This window comes from Homo sapiens, chromosome 4 (assembly GCF_000001405.40).
Source record: "Homo sapiens chromosome 4, GRCh38.p14 Primary Assembly".
NCBI classification, from domain to species: Eukaryota; Metazoa; Chordata; class Mammalia; order Primates; family Hominidae; genus Homo; species Homo sapiens.
This window is the reverse complement of record NC_000004.12, coordinates 71,180,093-71,194,624: the sequence shown is the minus strand read 5'-3', so window position 1 is coordinate 71,194,624 and position 14,532 is coordinate 71,180,093. Positions and strand designations below refer to the sequence as shown.

At 41.0% G+C, this 14,532-nt stretch overlaps 1 protein-coding gene and 1 long non-coding RNA gene across 5 annotated transcripts in view; one reads left to right on the top strand and one right to left on the bottom strand.

Annotated features, from left to right (window-relative positions):
* Positions 1 to 14,532, bottom strand: part of SLC4A4 (solute carrier family 4 member 4) — a 509,424-nt gene that overhangs the window by 377,459 nt on the left and 117,433 nt on the right. The window contains exon 1 of one of the 4 annotated variants that reach the window (NM_001134742.2): positions 7,224 to 7,860. The exons of 2 other annotated variants lie outside the window; for them this stretch is intronic. The gene's annotated coding sequence lies outside the window, so the exon portion shown is untranslated. Of the gene's footprint in view, positions 1 to 7,223; positions 7,861 to 14,532 lie in introns of those variants that run through there. One more of the 4 variants, NM_001098484.3, reaches the window with a different exon arrangement.
* LOC124900712 (uncharacterized) lies at positions 8,101 to 10,937 on the top strand. The gene is made up of 2 exons (XR_007058133.1): positions 8,101 to 10,044; positions 10,170 to 10,937. It is a non-coding gene; the product is annotated as an uncharacterized LOC124900712 (long non-coding RNA).

Here is a 14,532-nt window from a genome sequence, read left to right as displayed (position 1 = left end):
GTGTGTTACTTGGAGGCATAAATTCAATATGAACTATATAGAAATGGGTGATCTCAAACTGCTGGCTCTTAGACTCAATTTTTCAATATGATGCTTGATGAACCTTGGTTCCAACTCAGCTTCAGCAATAAAAAGTAAAAGTCCTAGAGAAAAAAAATATATAAAGCACAGCTTGAGTCACTCAGAGTAACGGTTTAAGAAAGATACTTAAATGTGTTCATTCATTCAGCCAACAAACATTTATTAATATGCCAGGAACTGTTCTCAGTGCTGGCATAATTCAACTCAAGAATAAGGAATGTTGAAGAATACAATAACAATAATAATAACTAACATGTATGGCCATTTACAGTGCTGAACAAGATTTCATAAAGATCACTTTATCTGTTCCTCATAACTCCTCTGTGAATGAGGTTTTATAATTATTTTAATAATGAAAAAAGACACGGATGTTTTTTAAATTCTCAAAACAACTAATAAGTAAGAGAGCTAGATGTTCAATTCATACCTTCCAAATACAAATCTCCATTGGTCATTGGGCAATACAACATTACAAGATGCTCTACTTTTATGTAAAGCATTGAGGACAAGTTCTGCATGTTTCTGAGTACTGTATTAAAGTTATTTAATATTGTTTTGGTTTGGGTTTTTTATTTTTTAGGGATAAAGTTTCGAAGATCCAGACTATCATCTTTACAAGTTCAAAATGTTTGTAATCTCTTTATCCCATGAGTTTACTTATCAGGTGGAAGCATTGGTGAATGAGTTTGCCTGGTTAGCTGAGTCTTCTAAACAAATAAAAGAACTGAACTCCCCAAGTATTAAAATCTTCGTTACTTGGGAAAAGATACTGGATAAAAACTTCAGGAGCAAAAAACATGAACAAGTACTTTACGAAAAAGTGTAGACAATAATCATATGAAAAGATAGACAAGGTACTCTGAGAAATGCAAATTAAAACTACACTGTGATACAACTATACATCCGATAGAATGGTTTTAAAAAAAAGACATACAAAACCCCTTTTGTAAGGATGTGGGGTAGATGATACTCTCACACAATGCTGGTAGGAATGTGAATTAGCACCAATTCTGAAGGAAGGCACTATCTACTAAAACCGTCCCATCAATTAAACTGGGAAAACACACAACTGAAATTCCCACATGGGCCGGGCGCGGTGGCTCACGCCTGTAATCTCAGCACTTTGGGAGGCCAAGGCGGGCGGATCACGAGGTCAGGAGATCGAGACCATCCTGGCTAACACGGTGAAACCCTGTCTCTACTAAAAATACAAAAAATTAGCCGGACGTGGTGGCGGGCACCTGTAGTCCCAGCTACTCGGGAGGCTGAGGCAGGAGAATGGCGTGAACCTGGGAGGCGGAGCTTGCAGTGAGCCGAGATCCGGCCACCGCACTCCAGCCTGGGCGACAGACAGGGCGACATGTTCACCAAAAGACATACGTAAGAATGCTCATAGCATCACTATTCATAATGGCCAAAAACTGGAAACAACCCAAACAAAATTAGTAAATCAAGAACAAAATGGATAAATGTACTGTGGCGTTCTTCTAAAGTGGAACACTATGTAGCAATGAGAATAAACTGATGCTTCACACAAAACAAGAAAGAATCTCACAACATAATGTTGAGCAAAAGAAGTCACACACAAGAATACACACCGTGTAATTAACTGACAGAAAGTTCAATGAGAGGTGAAAGTAACCATTATCTCAGAAATTAGGAGAGTGGTTACCTTGGTGGGAAGTAATGACTTGAAGAGGGAGTTAGAGGAGACTTCCGGATGCCAGCAATGGTCTATATTTTGGTCTTGGCACTGGTTATATGGACATGTTCACTTAGGTAAATCGCTGAGATGTCCACTGATGGTATGATGACATACAATTTTCTGACCATATGTATTTCAATAAAAACTTAACAGAAGGAAGAGGGGAGGGGAAAATAAGGAAGAGCTGAGAAAGTGGGGGAGGGAGAAGGGGGTGTAATGAAGTGATGCTATAAGAGTCCAAATCTAAATAGTCCTCAACCACTGTGTTTGCTTTAGTTCTTACTTCTGTCTACCTCTTCCTTTACTACCACGCTGTTTTCAGGCACTTTTCAATGTTTTCTATGTATTTGCCAATAAAGCCCATTTTCGTCTTCTACTTTGTAGTTTACTGTTTGCTATGGGATTAAAAACTTTATAATCAATCATAGAACAGTATGGGTATTAAAAGTAAACTGACTCTGAGGGATGTCCTAGGAGTAAAGTGAATTCTTTTTAATGTATTTACTTTTTTACCCTCTATTTTGCCTGCTCAGAGACTTTTTTGCTGGGGAACATGACAAATGTAGGAGTTCCAAATAGATGAAGTTGTTACTAGATCTTATCAGTGAATATCAGATCTCCAGGCCAAAGCTAGAATTAACTAACATAGAAGTCCATATCCCACAAGTTTACTTACTTGCAAATAGTATTAAGAAGAATATTAATCAGTGAATATACTTTAAAAAAAGAAATCACCAATTTCCTCTTAAATAAGAAGACGTCTTCAATATATTAAGAGATTTTTCTAGTTGTGTCACCCATAGAATATTACAGCGGTGTTAAACATAACATACTCCTTTCTCATTTTGTATTTTTATTCATATTGATTTTTTTAATCCCCAAAAAAGCATACTAGGAGTTTTATTTACAACTTTCTTAAGGTTTCTAATACAGAAATTCGAGTTAAATTCAAGTCAAGGAGTATACCTTTTCCACACAACTATCCACAAAGTAAAAATACAAAACTCCAAAATATCAGTTGGTGGTTATTTATTTCCTTTAACATCCTAATTTCACTTAATTTCTTTCTATGTTCATTCTACATGAAAAACAAAAGTTAGCTCTCAAGATGGTAGCTAAAACTGGTACACCCAAACTGAAAATTCTTCTCTCATGAAATACTCCCTGGATTGCAGAAACTGAAATAAAGTTGCGGCAAGTGGGCACTGCTACTGAGCAGAATTACCAACAGAAAATGGAAACCATCACTTTAAAACAGGATAAACTTTTATCTGCTTTAGTATCTTCTGCTGTGACTAAAAGGACATTCACCCATTCATTGACAGTCATTCGACAAACATGTATCACCAGTCAAAAGATTAAAATACTTATTCCTACCTCCACCAATAATTTGTAGTTAAGTTTAAGAAAAGCATACAGAGTTCTCTGTCATAGTTTCCTCTTCATCTCAATAAGCATAACAATCCCTTATATTTACTTAGTTTTCAGGAAAGAAGAACAAGATGATGTTTTGGTTTACACAAACAACTACAGAGGCACATAGTTTCAACATTACTGTTTCTACCACTATCTTTTTCCAGTACAGAGGCTCCTAAATGTACGGTGGGTTATGTCCTGATAAGCCCATCATAAATTGAAAATATTGCAAGTCAAAAATGTGTCTAATACACCTAACCTACCAAACATCATAGCTTAGCCTAACCTACCTTAAATGTGTTCAGAATATTTACATTCGCCTACTAGGCAAAATCATCTAACACAAAGCCTAACCTATTTTACAAATAAACTATTGGATAGCTCATGTAATTAATTGAATACTGTACTGAAAGTGAAAAACAGAATGTTGTTACCAGTACTCGAAGTATAGATCCTACTGAATGTGAATGCTTTCACACCATTGTAATTCTGAAAAATTTTAACTGGAACATCATAAGTCTGGAACCGTCTATATTCAGCATCAAGTAAGACATTATCATTAAGGAATAAAATTATTGGCATCATTAGGAAGATTGGAAGAAAAAGTTTTATCTCTCCTTTGCCACAGCAAGTAAAGCCATTAGCATTTATACACTTGTTCATTTTTTACAGACAGGATCTCCCTATGTTGCCCAGGCTGAGGTGCAGTAGCTATTCACAGGCACAATTTAATAGCAATTTTATGGGCACAATTTTAGAGCACATGACAGCCTCGAACTCCTATGCTTAAGTGATCCTCCCAACTCAGCCTCCAGAGTATCTGGGACCACTGCACCTGGCTCTCATTGTATTTTCAATGTCTTGTTAGAAATGTCATTGCACTGCTGAGACTACCAAATGCAATAAAAGCCATTGCCACAGAAGTATTACGAAAGTAGTTAATATGGCTTCCGACAAAATTAAATCAGCCACCTCTACAAATGAGTTGTGTCTGTGTGTGTGTGTGTGTGTGTGTGTGTGTGTGTGTGTGTGTGTGTAAACATACATAGACAGAACTGAGTAAAGGAGACTCCATCCCTATTGCTGGAAAAATAACCAAAGCTGTGCACTACTGAGGATAAAAAGATCATCTTCATGTCAGAAGAACAGCAGCATATTTTCCATTTTTGTGACCCAAACGTATCAAGAGTTTATATATTGGGAGAAAGGCAAAATGTATTTGGAATACAACTTAGCTGACCTCAAATAAAACTTTATTCCTCCTTTCCTCTAAGATTCCTACATTATGTAAAAGTAGTAAGATCCAGTTTTGTAAAGTCTTACTAGCTTCCTGGATGTTCTTTATCCATTTTGCTAAATGACTCCCTAAAAATACATAAATTTCATAAGTCACAGGTTGTCCTTGGAAACAGCATCAACTGAGATCCATGTTCTGCTTATAGCTTCCTTTGTCCCATCAAATCATGCATTCTGATTCCTTCATTTAGCAATCAAGAAAAAAACACTTAGAAATGTTAATCATCATTAGATTTTCCTCTTCTCAGTTTGTTCTTTCCACTCCCAATCTTATCTATCAACTCTGGTCTTAGATTTCATTCATATTATTTTAAATAAACACAAAGAAACTCCAAGAAACAGATATGTATCTCGCCACACTTAAGTCCAGCAGAGTCTCTCAGGACGCTTCTCCTCTAACAATAGCAGTCCTCATATGAGGTCTACAGCGCTCACAGAGGCAGGCAAGGAATCCTGTTTATTTACATGATTCACCAGCTAGTGTGCATTTCTTTAAGTGTTGTCTTTTCCTTTAAGATGTAAGCTATGGCCAGATATCACTCTTGTTATCGGAACAAGGGATCAGAACCTCAAAACTGTACCTGCCAGCACTCAGCGAAAAATGAGATTACCATCAGGGCCTACTGGAAGTTGTCCCAAAGGTTACCCGATTTCTATCGCATTATTCCTCTAAATCTGATTGCCTTTATTTCTTTCACACAACATTTTTGTAAATCCAAAATGTCTCTTAATCATTTAGAAGACTGAAATCATAGTACTAACATTCAAACATCTAAAATTATTTAATATTGACTACGTGAACTAAAAGAAATACATTAATCTAAACTGAGAGTACATTCTGTCAATCTCATTGGGTAAGGTGTCTAATGTATGTTTTTAAGTCTCCAGAAATGACCCCAAAAGAGCAAATGGCACCAAAACCCTCATTCTGAAGTACACTTAAATCCAAAATGTTGGGGGTTTCTTAGTTTTCAGTTTTTTTAACATGGCTGGGACTATCAAAATATCCCATCTTGTCCTTGTCACCCCCACTCCTACAAATGTTCTCTGCCTCAACAGCTCATAATGTAGTGGTACTGCTTTCCTGTCTCCATCTACATATATGAGAGTTTCTCTGTCATCTTACTTGACAGTGTGGGATACAGTTAAAACAAATCATTCAATTTCAAGATCTACCACAAAGACCAGAATCCTATCAGTACTTTTAACTTTAAAATGAAAGTAAAAGTTTTTTCTCAGCTATAAAAGTTATAGAAAAATAAACAGGCACACTTCCTTTGAATGAAGTTATACTAATATCTTCAGTCTAAGTACTAAAATGACCATGTAAATTATTTACATGCTAATATGAAAGACACAAGAAAGAGAGCTGTAGTCAGAAACGTTTTCAAAAGACATCACATTGGCTATAAAAAGCTACTGAATATTGTTCTAATGGCATTGACGAATCTACTGAAATCACAATGAAAAAAAAAAGCCCAAATGAGCAATGTACACTTTAATTAATTTAATTCAGGTAGTATTACAACTCCAAGTCCCAAGATACAAGAAAAAAGAGAAATACAGTACAACACAGTGTCTCTTAGGAAAGGAACTGCTGCAGGATTTGAGACAATGAGCGTTTAGTACAGCCCAGTGTTCTTGATTTCTCATTAGGAGCAACTTTCCAGGGCACTGAAGCGAACCAGGAAAAGAAATGGGGAGGGTAAGCCAAAGGGGTCGCTGCTCTTCAGTGTCAAGTTGGAAAGAGCTTGCTGCGATCAATTATGCTGAGAAGGTAGGGCCTTGAGAGGGAAGGAAGGATAGAAAAAAACAGTTTTACAGGGCGCTGAAAAAAGTGATAGAAGAGAGGTAGAACTGCTTCCTCCATCTTTCACGTCAAGTTCAAGTTTTTCTTTTTGTTCTATAAGAACTTTTGTCTTTATGGTGCTTGCTGCGGTTTGCTGATGTAGTTCCCAGGTCCTGCCTTCCTCTGGTGACTTATTAACGGACTGGCAACGGCTGAGTAAAATGCACTTAAGAAAAAAGAAATCACCTCTCTTTGCCAAGACTCACATGCTGCCCAGTACCTGAGGGAGAGCTCCGTTGTCGCTGGCCAAGAGAAATTCCAGTTTAACCTATGCCTCCCCTAGCCAAATCCATTGCAAATAAATGTGTGTGTGCCACTTGCAGAGAATCTGCCTGACTCACCCCCCGCCTTTGGCGTGCCAGGGAGAGATGTAAATGCTCCGTCCTGGAGCTGGCAGTGAAGTGGGGGCCGCGGCCTCGGTAGCACCAAGAGTCCCCAAATCTCCCCCTGTGATGGGTTTAGGGATGTGTTCCTCTCAAGCAGGTGCCTGGTCACAGGGCGACCACCCAGGCTCACAGCAACACACGTGTCACTGAGCCCGAGCCCAGCCCGCCGCAGAACTGGCCCCGCAGTCCTCGTAAAGACGCCCAGTTGCGCGCAGGGGACTTAGCAGTGAGGGAGAAGCAGACCACCCAAACTCTTCCTCTAAACCCTAAGAAGGAAAAAAAATACTTTTCCGCGGAAGCAGCCTCCACACACCGCCCGCGCCCAGCTCAGGGGATGCCCGGCCCGCAATTGACCTCTCTCTCCCTCCCAGGAGCGCGCTGAGGCCGCCTGCGCGCCCTACGGAATCGGCCCCCGGGCCCGCGCCCGCCTCCGCCTTGGAGCGAGGGACCCCATCGACCCTCCCGGCAGCTGCCGGGGCCGGGCGCTCACCTCCTGGGGTCTGGCTTCCGTCGCTCCTCCAGTTTGGCGGCGGAGTGTGGGGCTGCAGCGGCCACTGCCACTGCCGCCGCCGCCGCCGCCTTCGCTGCCACCGCGGCCGCCGCCGCCACCGAAGCGCTGCCCGGCGCGCCGCCGGGGTTGGAGGCTGGGGGGCCGCGGAATCCCTGGAGGCGCGAGCCCGGGACGCGGCGGGGCCGAGCCGCGGGAAGTTGTCTGCGCCGGGCGCGGAGCGAGCGGGGCGCCAGTCACCCGCGCCCAAGTAGTCACAACTTTGCCGCCTGGGTGGGTGCGCGCTCCGGAGAGAGGCGAGCGCGGGAGAGCGGGGCAAAGGCGCTGGGGCGGGAGGGTCTTCGGAGCAGGCAGGACTGCAACCTGAACGGCCCGCGAGGAAAGGGGAAAGGTGGCGCGGGGGGATGTCTACACAGCCTGTGTGGTGCGCGGCGAGCGAGTGTGTAAGAGCGCGGGCGTCTACTCTACTTTGCCTCCTGCAGCTCCTGCATATTTATGGGGATCTCTGATGTTCCTGCTAGTAACTAACACTGCAGCAGTGGAGCCCAGCCCAGGCGCCCCTCGGGAGCAAGCCGGGGTGCGGGGGCTCACGGAAGGCGGCCGCGGCGGAGGCTGTGCCGCGAGCGCGAGCCTGCGATCCATATTTAAAGCCGTAAGTGGCCTCGGCCGGCCCCCTGCCCTGCCCTCGCTCGTGCCCGCCAGCCCGGCCCCCACCGCTCCGGGCCGCTGCTCGGCGTCAGCCGCCCGGGCATCGGCGGCGGGGAGGGGCCTCGAGCCGCGCCGCCTCCGCCGGGGGCTTGGGCTCTGTGCGCAGCGCCCGCCCGGAGCTGGCGGAGGACCCGGCTCCGGACCGGCCGCTCTTGCCTCCCAGGTTCCTTTTCTCTCACGCCCTGGGCTGGGTCCTAGGTCCAGCTTTTTGTCCTACTCAAAAGAGTTCCCCAGTGGGGAGAGCCTGTGCTTTCATGCAGAACTAAAATTGCGTGAGTTTCCCAGCTCAGATCACTCTTGACTCTACTTTATAAAACTTGGGGCGTATAGAGTGCTGCCATAACACAGTATTAAGTAATTGTTCACCTTTAACAAAAGATGTCTGAAGATAACGTGGTTGTCAACTGTGTCCTTCACTTATGTCACTGATGCCTTTCTGTCTTCCTTGGGAGTTAGGAAAACAGCCTTAGCAAAGTGATTATTTGTATTTATTCTGTTCCTAAGTCTAATAATGAGGTTCAAGTACTCTTTGCCAAGCAAATAATATATCAGTGATCCAGCACCATTGCCATTGGTAAACTATTGAATCATAAGTAAACCATTAAGATATGAACAGACTGTCAGCACAGACACACCATCTATTGTTCTGGGTACTGCTAGAGAGTAGTCACTTAATGGATTGCAACCACATGGTATATCATGCAAGTGTATATCATTTTCTAGTAATACATATTATATGTAATGTGTATGTGGACATCACTGACCAAACTGTGTTTTCAACAGTAGCCACCAAAATGCATAAAGCTCAAGAGAAATAATTTAACATACCAACTGCTCCTGGTCCCCAGTATTTCTTCAATACAAAGCTATAGCTTATAGGACCTCCAAGAGAAAAAAAAAATGAGGGTAGGGAGGAAATAATTTGAGGACAGAGGCTTTTCTTTCTAGTATTCAAAACTGGAAGAGATCCAGAGATCCATGGTGCCTCACCAGTGCTTGGAAAGCAGGTATGGAGCCTGTGTCTTTTAAAAAGTTTCTATCTTTAAAATCCTTAGTTAATGCTCAGAAGGCACAAGGAAACACGCCAATCTGATGTCTGAAATTAAAATGTACTGTCATGTGTCTGTTGTCACATCTGGCTCACATATATGTTCACACATTCTACATAACCCAGTGCAGTGATATATCACTGGGAATTTTTCATGGGAAACTCAAAACCAAAGATAAAACAAAAATTTAGCTTTAAAGTTTTCACCTAAATGATTATGTTCTGTTTCTAGGCTAATGTTAAAATTAACTTTCACTCCCTGAGCAGGCAGTTAGCAAGAATCAGCAACCGCAAAGTAAGCTAACAGGCAAAGGGAAGTCACTTTTGTATTAAAAATTTGCCATTGCTGTTCAGCAGTTTTTCACACTGTGGATTATGTATTTCAACATAGCTGGCAATTTCTCATTATAATCGTGAAGCAGCCATGAACACTCAGTGCTGGTGAATAAGAAAGAAAAAGTCCAAGAAACACATTTTTCAAGCATTCTGCTGCAAAATATATCAAACTTTCCTTCACGTAAGTTAAATAGGTAACTCCTGAAGGCATTTCAGTACAAAGATTGGCAAGAATTTACCCTAAAAGGAGCATAAAGTTGGTTTGTGGGGTGGGAGGCAGGGAGACAATGAGAGTACTATAGAGGTGAGATTTGGTATGTGTCTTAAATTAATGAGAAAAAGAGTCTTTGGCAAAGCGTTGACAACCTCTGTTATCATTTTCATTACTTGATGTTTGCTATCCCACAATTAAAAGAGTGTTCTATTTCCTTTCCTATTGATTAGTGTCCAGTAGTTGAGATATACGTGTTTTCCTTTGAAAGGTCATTGATTAATTTTTCTTATAAACTCTGCATGTGATCACTTTCGATTGCTTTTCCGGGTGATAACAATGAATCCTGAGATTTTTGTTCACCTCTCCTAAAACTTGTGCCATGTCTCTTGATTCTCATAAGCACAAAGAAAGATTTATTAGTTCTTTTTGTCTTGGGGTTCACACAGCTTGGTGACAAGAAGAATGAGCAGAAAAACTGATGGAATTAGAAAAATGGTGTAAGTAAGCTTTACTGATAATGATTTGTTTACTTTTTAATCAACAACTCTCTGTACTAAAGGACTTCTTAGAATACCAGCCCAGTACTTAGCTTATTAATCAAATTTCTTTCGTATCATCCAAGGTCCTAATAGGCATCTAAAGAAAACAGAAAGGAGGAAGGACCTTTGTTTCGATGACAAGCACCATCTAGTGGCAGCAGGTGATGACGACATAATGTCTCTAAGAAGAATGAAGATGAAAGTTTTCGAATAGGTAGTCCAGGCATTTCTGGTCGCTTATAGGCATGACATTCTTTGATTCTAAAACAAGAAGTTGTATGTAGTAGAATAATGCAATTGATCGGCCCTGCGTTGATTATTGAAAGTAAGGTGCCGATGTGACCTGCAGATAGGATTATTAGCATAGAATTTTCTCAGTATTTGTGTGACTGACTAGGTCCTTAAAGACTCTGTATTTAAGTTTCCTCATTACATAAAATAGGAAGAGTGATGGCTTGTCACCATATGTTGTCTGTAAAGCACTGTGTTCAACAAAGAGCAGAATCCATAAATATAACTATTATATTTGGATTTTTTCACTATTGGGAAAAAAGGTGAAAAATATTGTTGGATGTTTCTCCTGGAGTTATACAAAATTATAACATTCATAGGCATTTCATATTGGGGCCTAAACAGAAAGGTGGTAGGAGATAACATTATAGCTTGTTACTATAAACGTCAAAGACTGATCAGAGATGTTTGTCAATATCAAGTCCTTTTTAAATAGGTGGTTCATTGGCGAAAGTCTGACCAACATGTTGCTACACAGAATAGAGATTTTCTTTGTGCTGATATTTGTTTGGACTTGTAGTTGTTTGCAACAGAATGATCATTAAAGTTGTCACTCTGTATCAATTTTGTTAACCACTTCATTGTGTAAGAGTAAGAAATGAGAAAAAGCAACTTTTGTTCTTCTCATTCTAAAACCAATCTGGGATGAAAGATAGATAGATATAGATCGATAGATAATAGGTCACCAAAGGCCTCATTTTTGTTTCACTTACACTCCAAGAGTATTCATATTCAGTCTGGCAAATTCTTGAATACATTCAACTAATCTAGATTTATAATTAACATTCTCTTCCTCAAACCCCAGGTTTAAAAATACCTGTAGCCCCTTTTTATGAGGAGAGAATGAAGGTGAACACAGTTTTTGGAAGCTGTCAGCACAGCATGAGCTGGGGAAAATAATTTTATTTGGTTAAACGTGTGTCCCAAGTTGCTTCACAGCTTTAGCAACTGAGCTCTCAACCATATCCAACTGTCGTTTTTAAAACACATGCCTAAAGTCAACTATCAGTAGAGGGTTCTAACTTCTGAAAACAGGAGCTTATCTCAGTTAATGTCAAGGAAGGCAGGTTATTCAATCTGAGTCTCAGTTCCCACAGCATTAAAATCAAGGAGCTTAAGATAATACCCCAAAATTCAGCAATTCCAACAGGATACCAGAATGATTTCCTCTAATAAAATTGAACAATATGTGATAGAGAAATATGCAAATCTTTCAGAAATGGTATCAACATATTTATTACGAAAGCTCTGTTTAATAACCTTAGGCCAATGTTTCAGCCCCTTCCTCCTGCAGGAATTCTCCCATAGATCAGCATAACACAGGACACAGACCTCTCTGTTTGGAAGGAGAAGGAAAACTTAAAATGAGCTACTAAGCCACTAAAACCCAGGCCCCTGATTTAAAAGATTGGTCTGGTTTTAGGTACGGTGGTAGAGAATTATGTTAGACTTCTCTATCAGAACAGACTCTTGGGGCCCTTGGACTCTCATAATGTGAGAGAGAGTGTGTGTGTGTGTGTGTGTGTGTGTGTGAAATGTACATACACGTGATCAGACTAGCAACTTCCCAGACACAGAAAGGTGTTTTTTCCTTTGTATCCCACTGGCTTCCTGCCTCCTTGGGAATTGAATGGGCCTACATAGCAGGCCACTTAAAAGCTGTTCCTCCTTTTTGGCCTATGGACCAAGTCATGCGGATTCAGCTGTTCCATTGCTTGGAGACAGGTTTCCCTATGGACTAACCGACCACCAGATCCAACTGGCCTATTACCGTTCACATCCCACTGGTCTGCTCTTTAGACCAGGCCTATCTTGGAGACCACAGCACCTCAGTCTCCTTGCAAGTAACAAAACAGTTGATGTTGCTAGTACCCATCTACCAGACTCATGTCTTCACGGAAAACACTGCAAATCAAAATCTGAATATTAAACGTTGGCTCCTTTTTCCCCTCTGCTTAGGGAAAGAGCACTCTGAGCAAATGTGCCTTCATGGCATTTCAATTTACCAGTGCCAACCAAAGGATGCTCAGTTCTACCACAGAATATGGGGCATGGTTGGGTCATCCATTCAGTCAACCAATATTTATTAAGAACCTACTTATTTTGTGTCAAGAACTCTTCTGGGTGATGGATTCCTAGAACAAGAAAAGTTCCTGCTTCATGGAACTTACAAGTAAACAAATAAGTGGACAAAATAATGTCCATTATCTTGGAATGCTAAATGCAATGAAGTGATAAATGCTATGAAGAGGGTGTCCAACTATCCCAGGTCACATTGCCAATTTACACCTGTTATCCTTCTGTAATGATAACAGCACTCCCTTTCACCTCAAAAGGAAGACATAGTGAGAAATTGTAGAATCCCCTTAGCCCTAGAAGAAATAAAGCACAGAGATGTGATAGAGTTGACAGGGCAAGGGACAGCTGCTTTCAAGTGGGGGGGTCAAGGAAGGTCTTTCTGAGATAGGAATGTTCGAGGACAAATCTGAATCAACAAGACATAAATATGAAAAATTGTAAAGGCAACTTGACAGTACAAATAGCATCTGGCATGGTGCCTTACACACAGTAGGAACTCAGTAATTATAGAATGATTGATGGCATTCCTTCTTTTTTGGAACATTAAAAATAGAGAAGCTTACTTACCCAGGATATATTTCTATTAAGACAGATTTCAGGCTTCACAAATTCCTTATGACATCATTCTTCTTACACAATAACATTGGGACTCTATCTGTGTATTTATTTGCATGTGCATAAAGCATCTCGTGAAGGATACATGAGCAATTAAAAGCACTATTTGCTTCCAGGAAGGGGAACTAGAGCAGGCATAGGGAGGAAGACTTATCACTGAATCATTCATACTTTACAAATTATTTTTTATTATACTTTAAGTTTTAGGGTACATGTGCACAATGTGCAGGTTAGTTACATCTGTATACATGTGCCATGTTGGTGTGCTGCACTCGGTAACTCATCATTTAACATTAGATATATCTCCTAATGCTATCCCTCCCCCCTCCCCCCACCCCACAACAGGCCCTGGTGTGTGATGTTCCCCTTCCTGTGTCCATGTGTTCTCATTGTTCAATTCCCACCTATGAGTGAGAACATGCGGTGTTTGGTTTTTTGTCCTTGTGATAGTTTGCTGAGAGTGATGGTTTCCGGCTTCATCCATGTCCCTACAAAGGACATGAACTCATCATTTTTTATGGCTGCATAGTATTCCATGGTATATATATGCCACATTTTCTTAATCCAGTCTATCATTGTTGGACATTTGAGTTGGTTCCAAGTCTTTGCTATTGTGAATAGTGCCGCAGTAAACATACGTGTGCATGTGTCTTTCTAGTAGCATGATTTATAATCCTTGGGTATATAGCCAGTAATGGGATTGCTGGGTCAAATGGTATTGCTGGGTCAAATGGTATTGCTAGTTCTAGATCCCTGAGGAATCGCCACACTGACTTCCACAATGGTTGAATTAGTTTAGTCCCACCAACAGTGTAAAAGTGTTCCCATTTCTCCACATCCTCTCCAGCACCTGTTGTTTCCTGACTTTTTAATGATTGCCATTCTAACAGGTGTGAGATGGTATCTCATTGTGGTTTTGATTTGCATTTCTCTGATGGCCAGTGATGATGAGCATTTTTTCATGTGTGTTGGCTGCATAAATGTCTTCTTTTGAGAAATGTCTGTTCATATCCTTTGCCCACTTTTTGATGGGGTTGTTTGTTTTTTTCTTGTAAATTTGTTGGAGTTCAATGTAGATTCTGGATATTAGCCCTTTGTCAGATGAGTGGGTTGCAAAAATTTTCTCCCATTCTGTAGGTTGCTTGTTCACTCTGATGGTAGTTTCTTTTGCTGTGTGGAAGCTCTTTAGTTTAATTAGATCCCATTTGTCAATTTTGGCTTTTGTTGCCATTGCTTTTGGTGTTTTAGACATGAAGTCCTTACCCATGCCTATGTCCTGAATGGTATTGCCTAGGTTTTCTTCCAGGGTTTTTATGGTTTTAGGTCTAACCTGTAAGTCCTTAATCCATCTTGAATTAATTTTTGTATAAGGTGTAAGGAAGGGATCCTGTTTCAGCTTTCTACATATGGCTAGCCAGTTTTCCCAGCACCATTTATTAAATAGGGAATCCTTTCCCCATT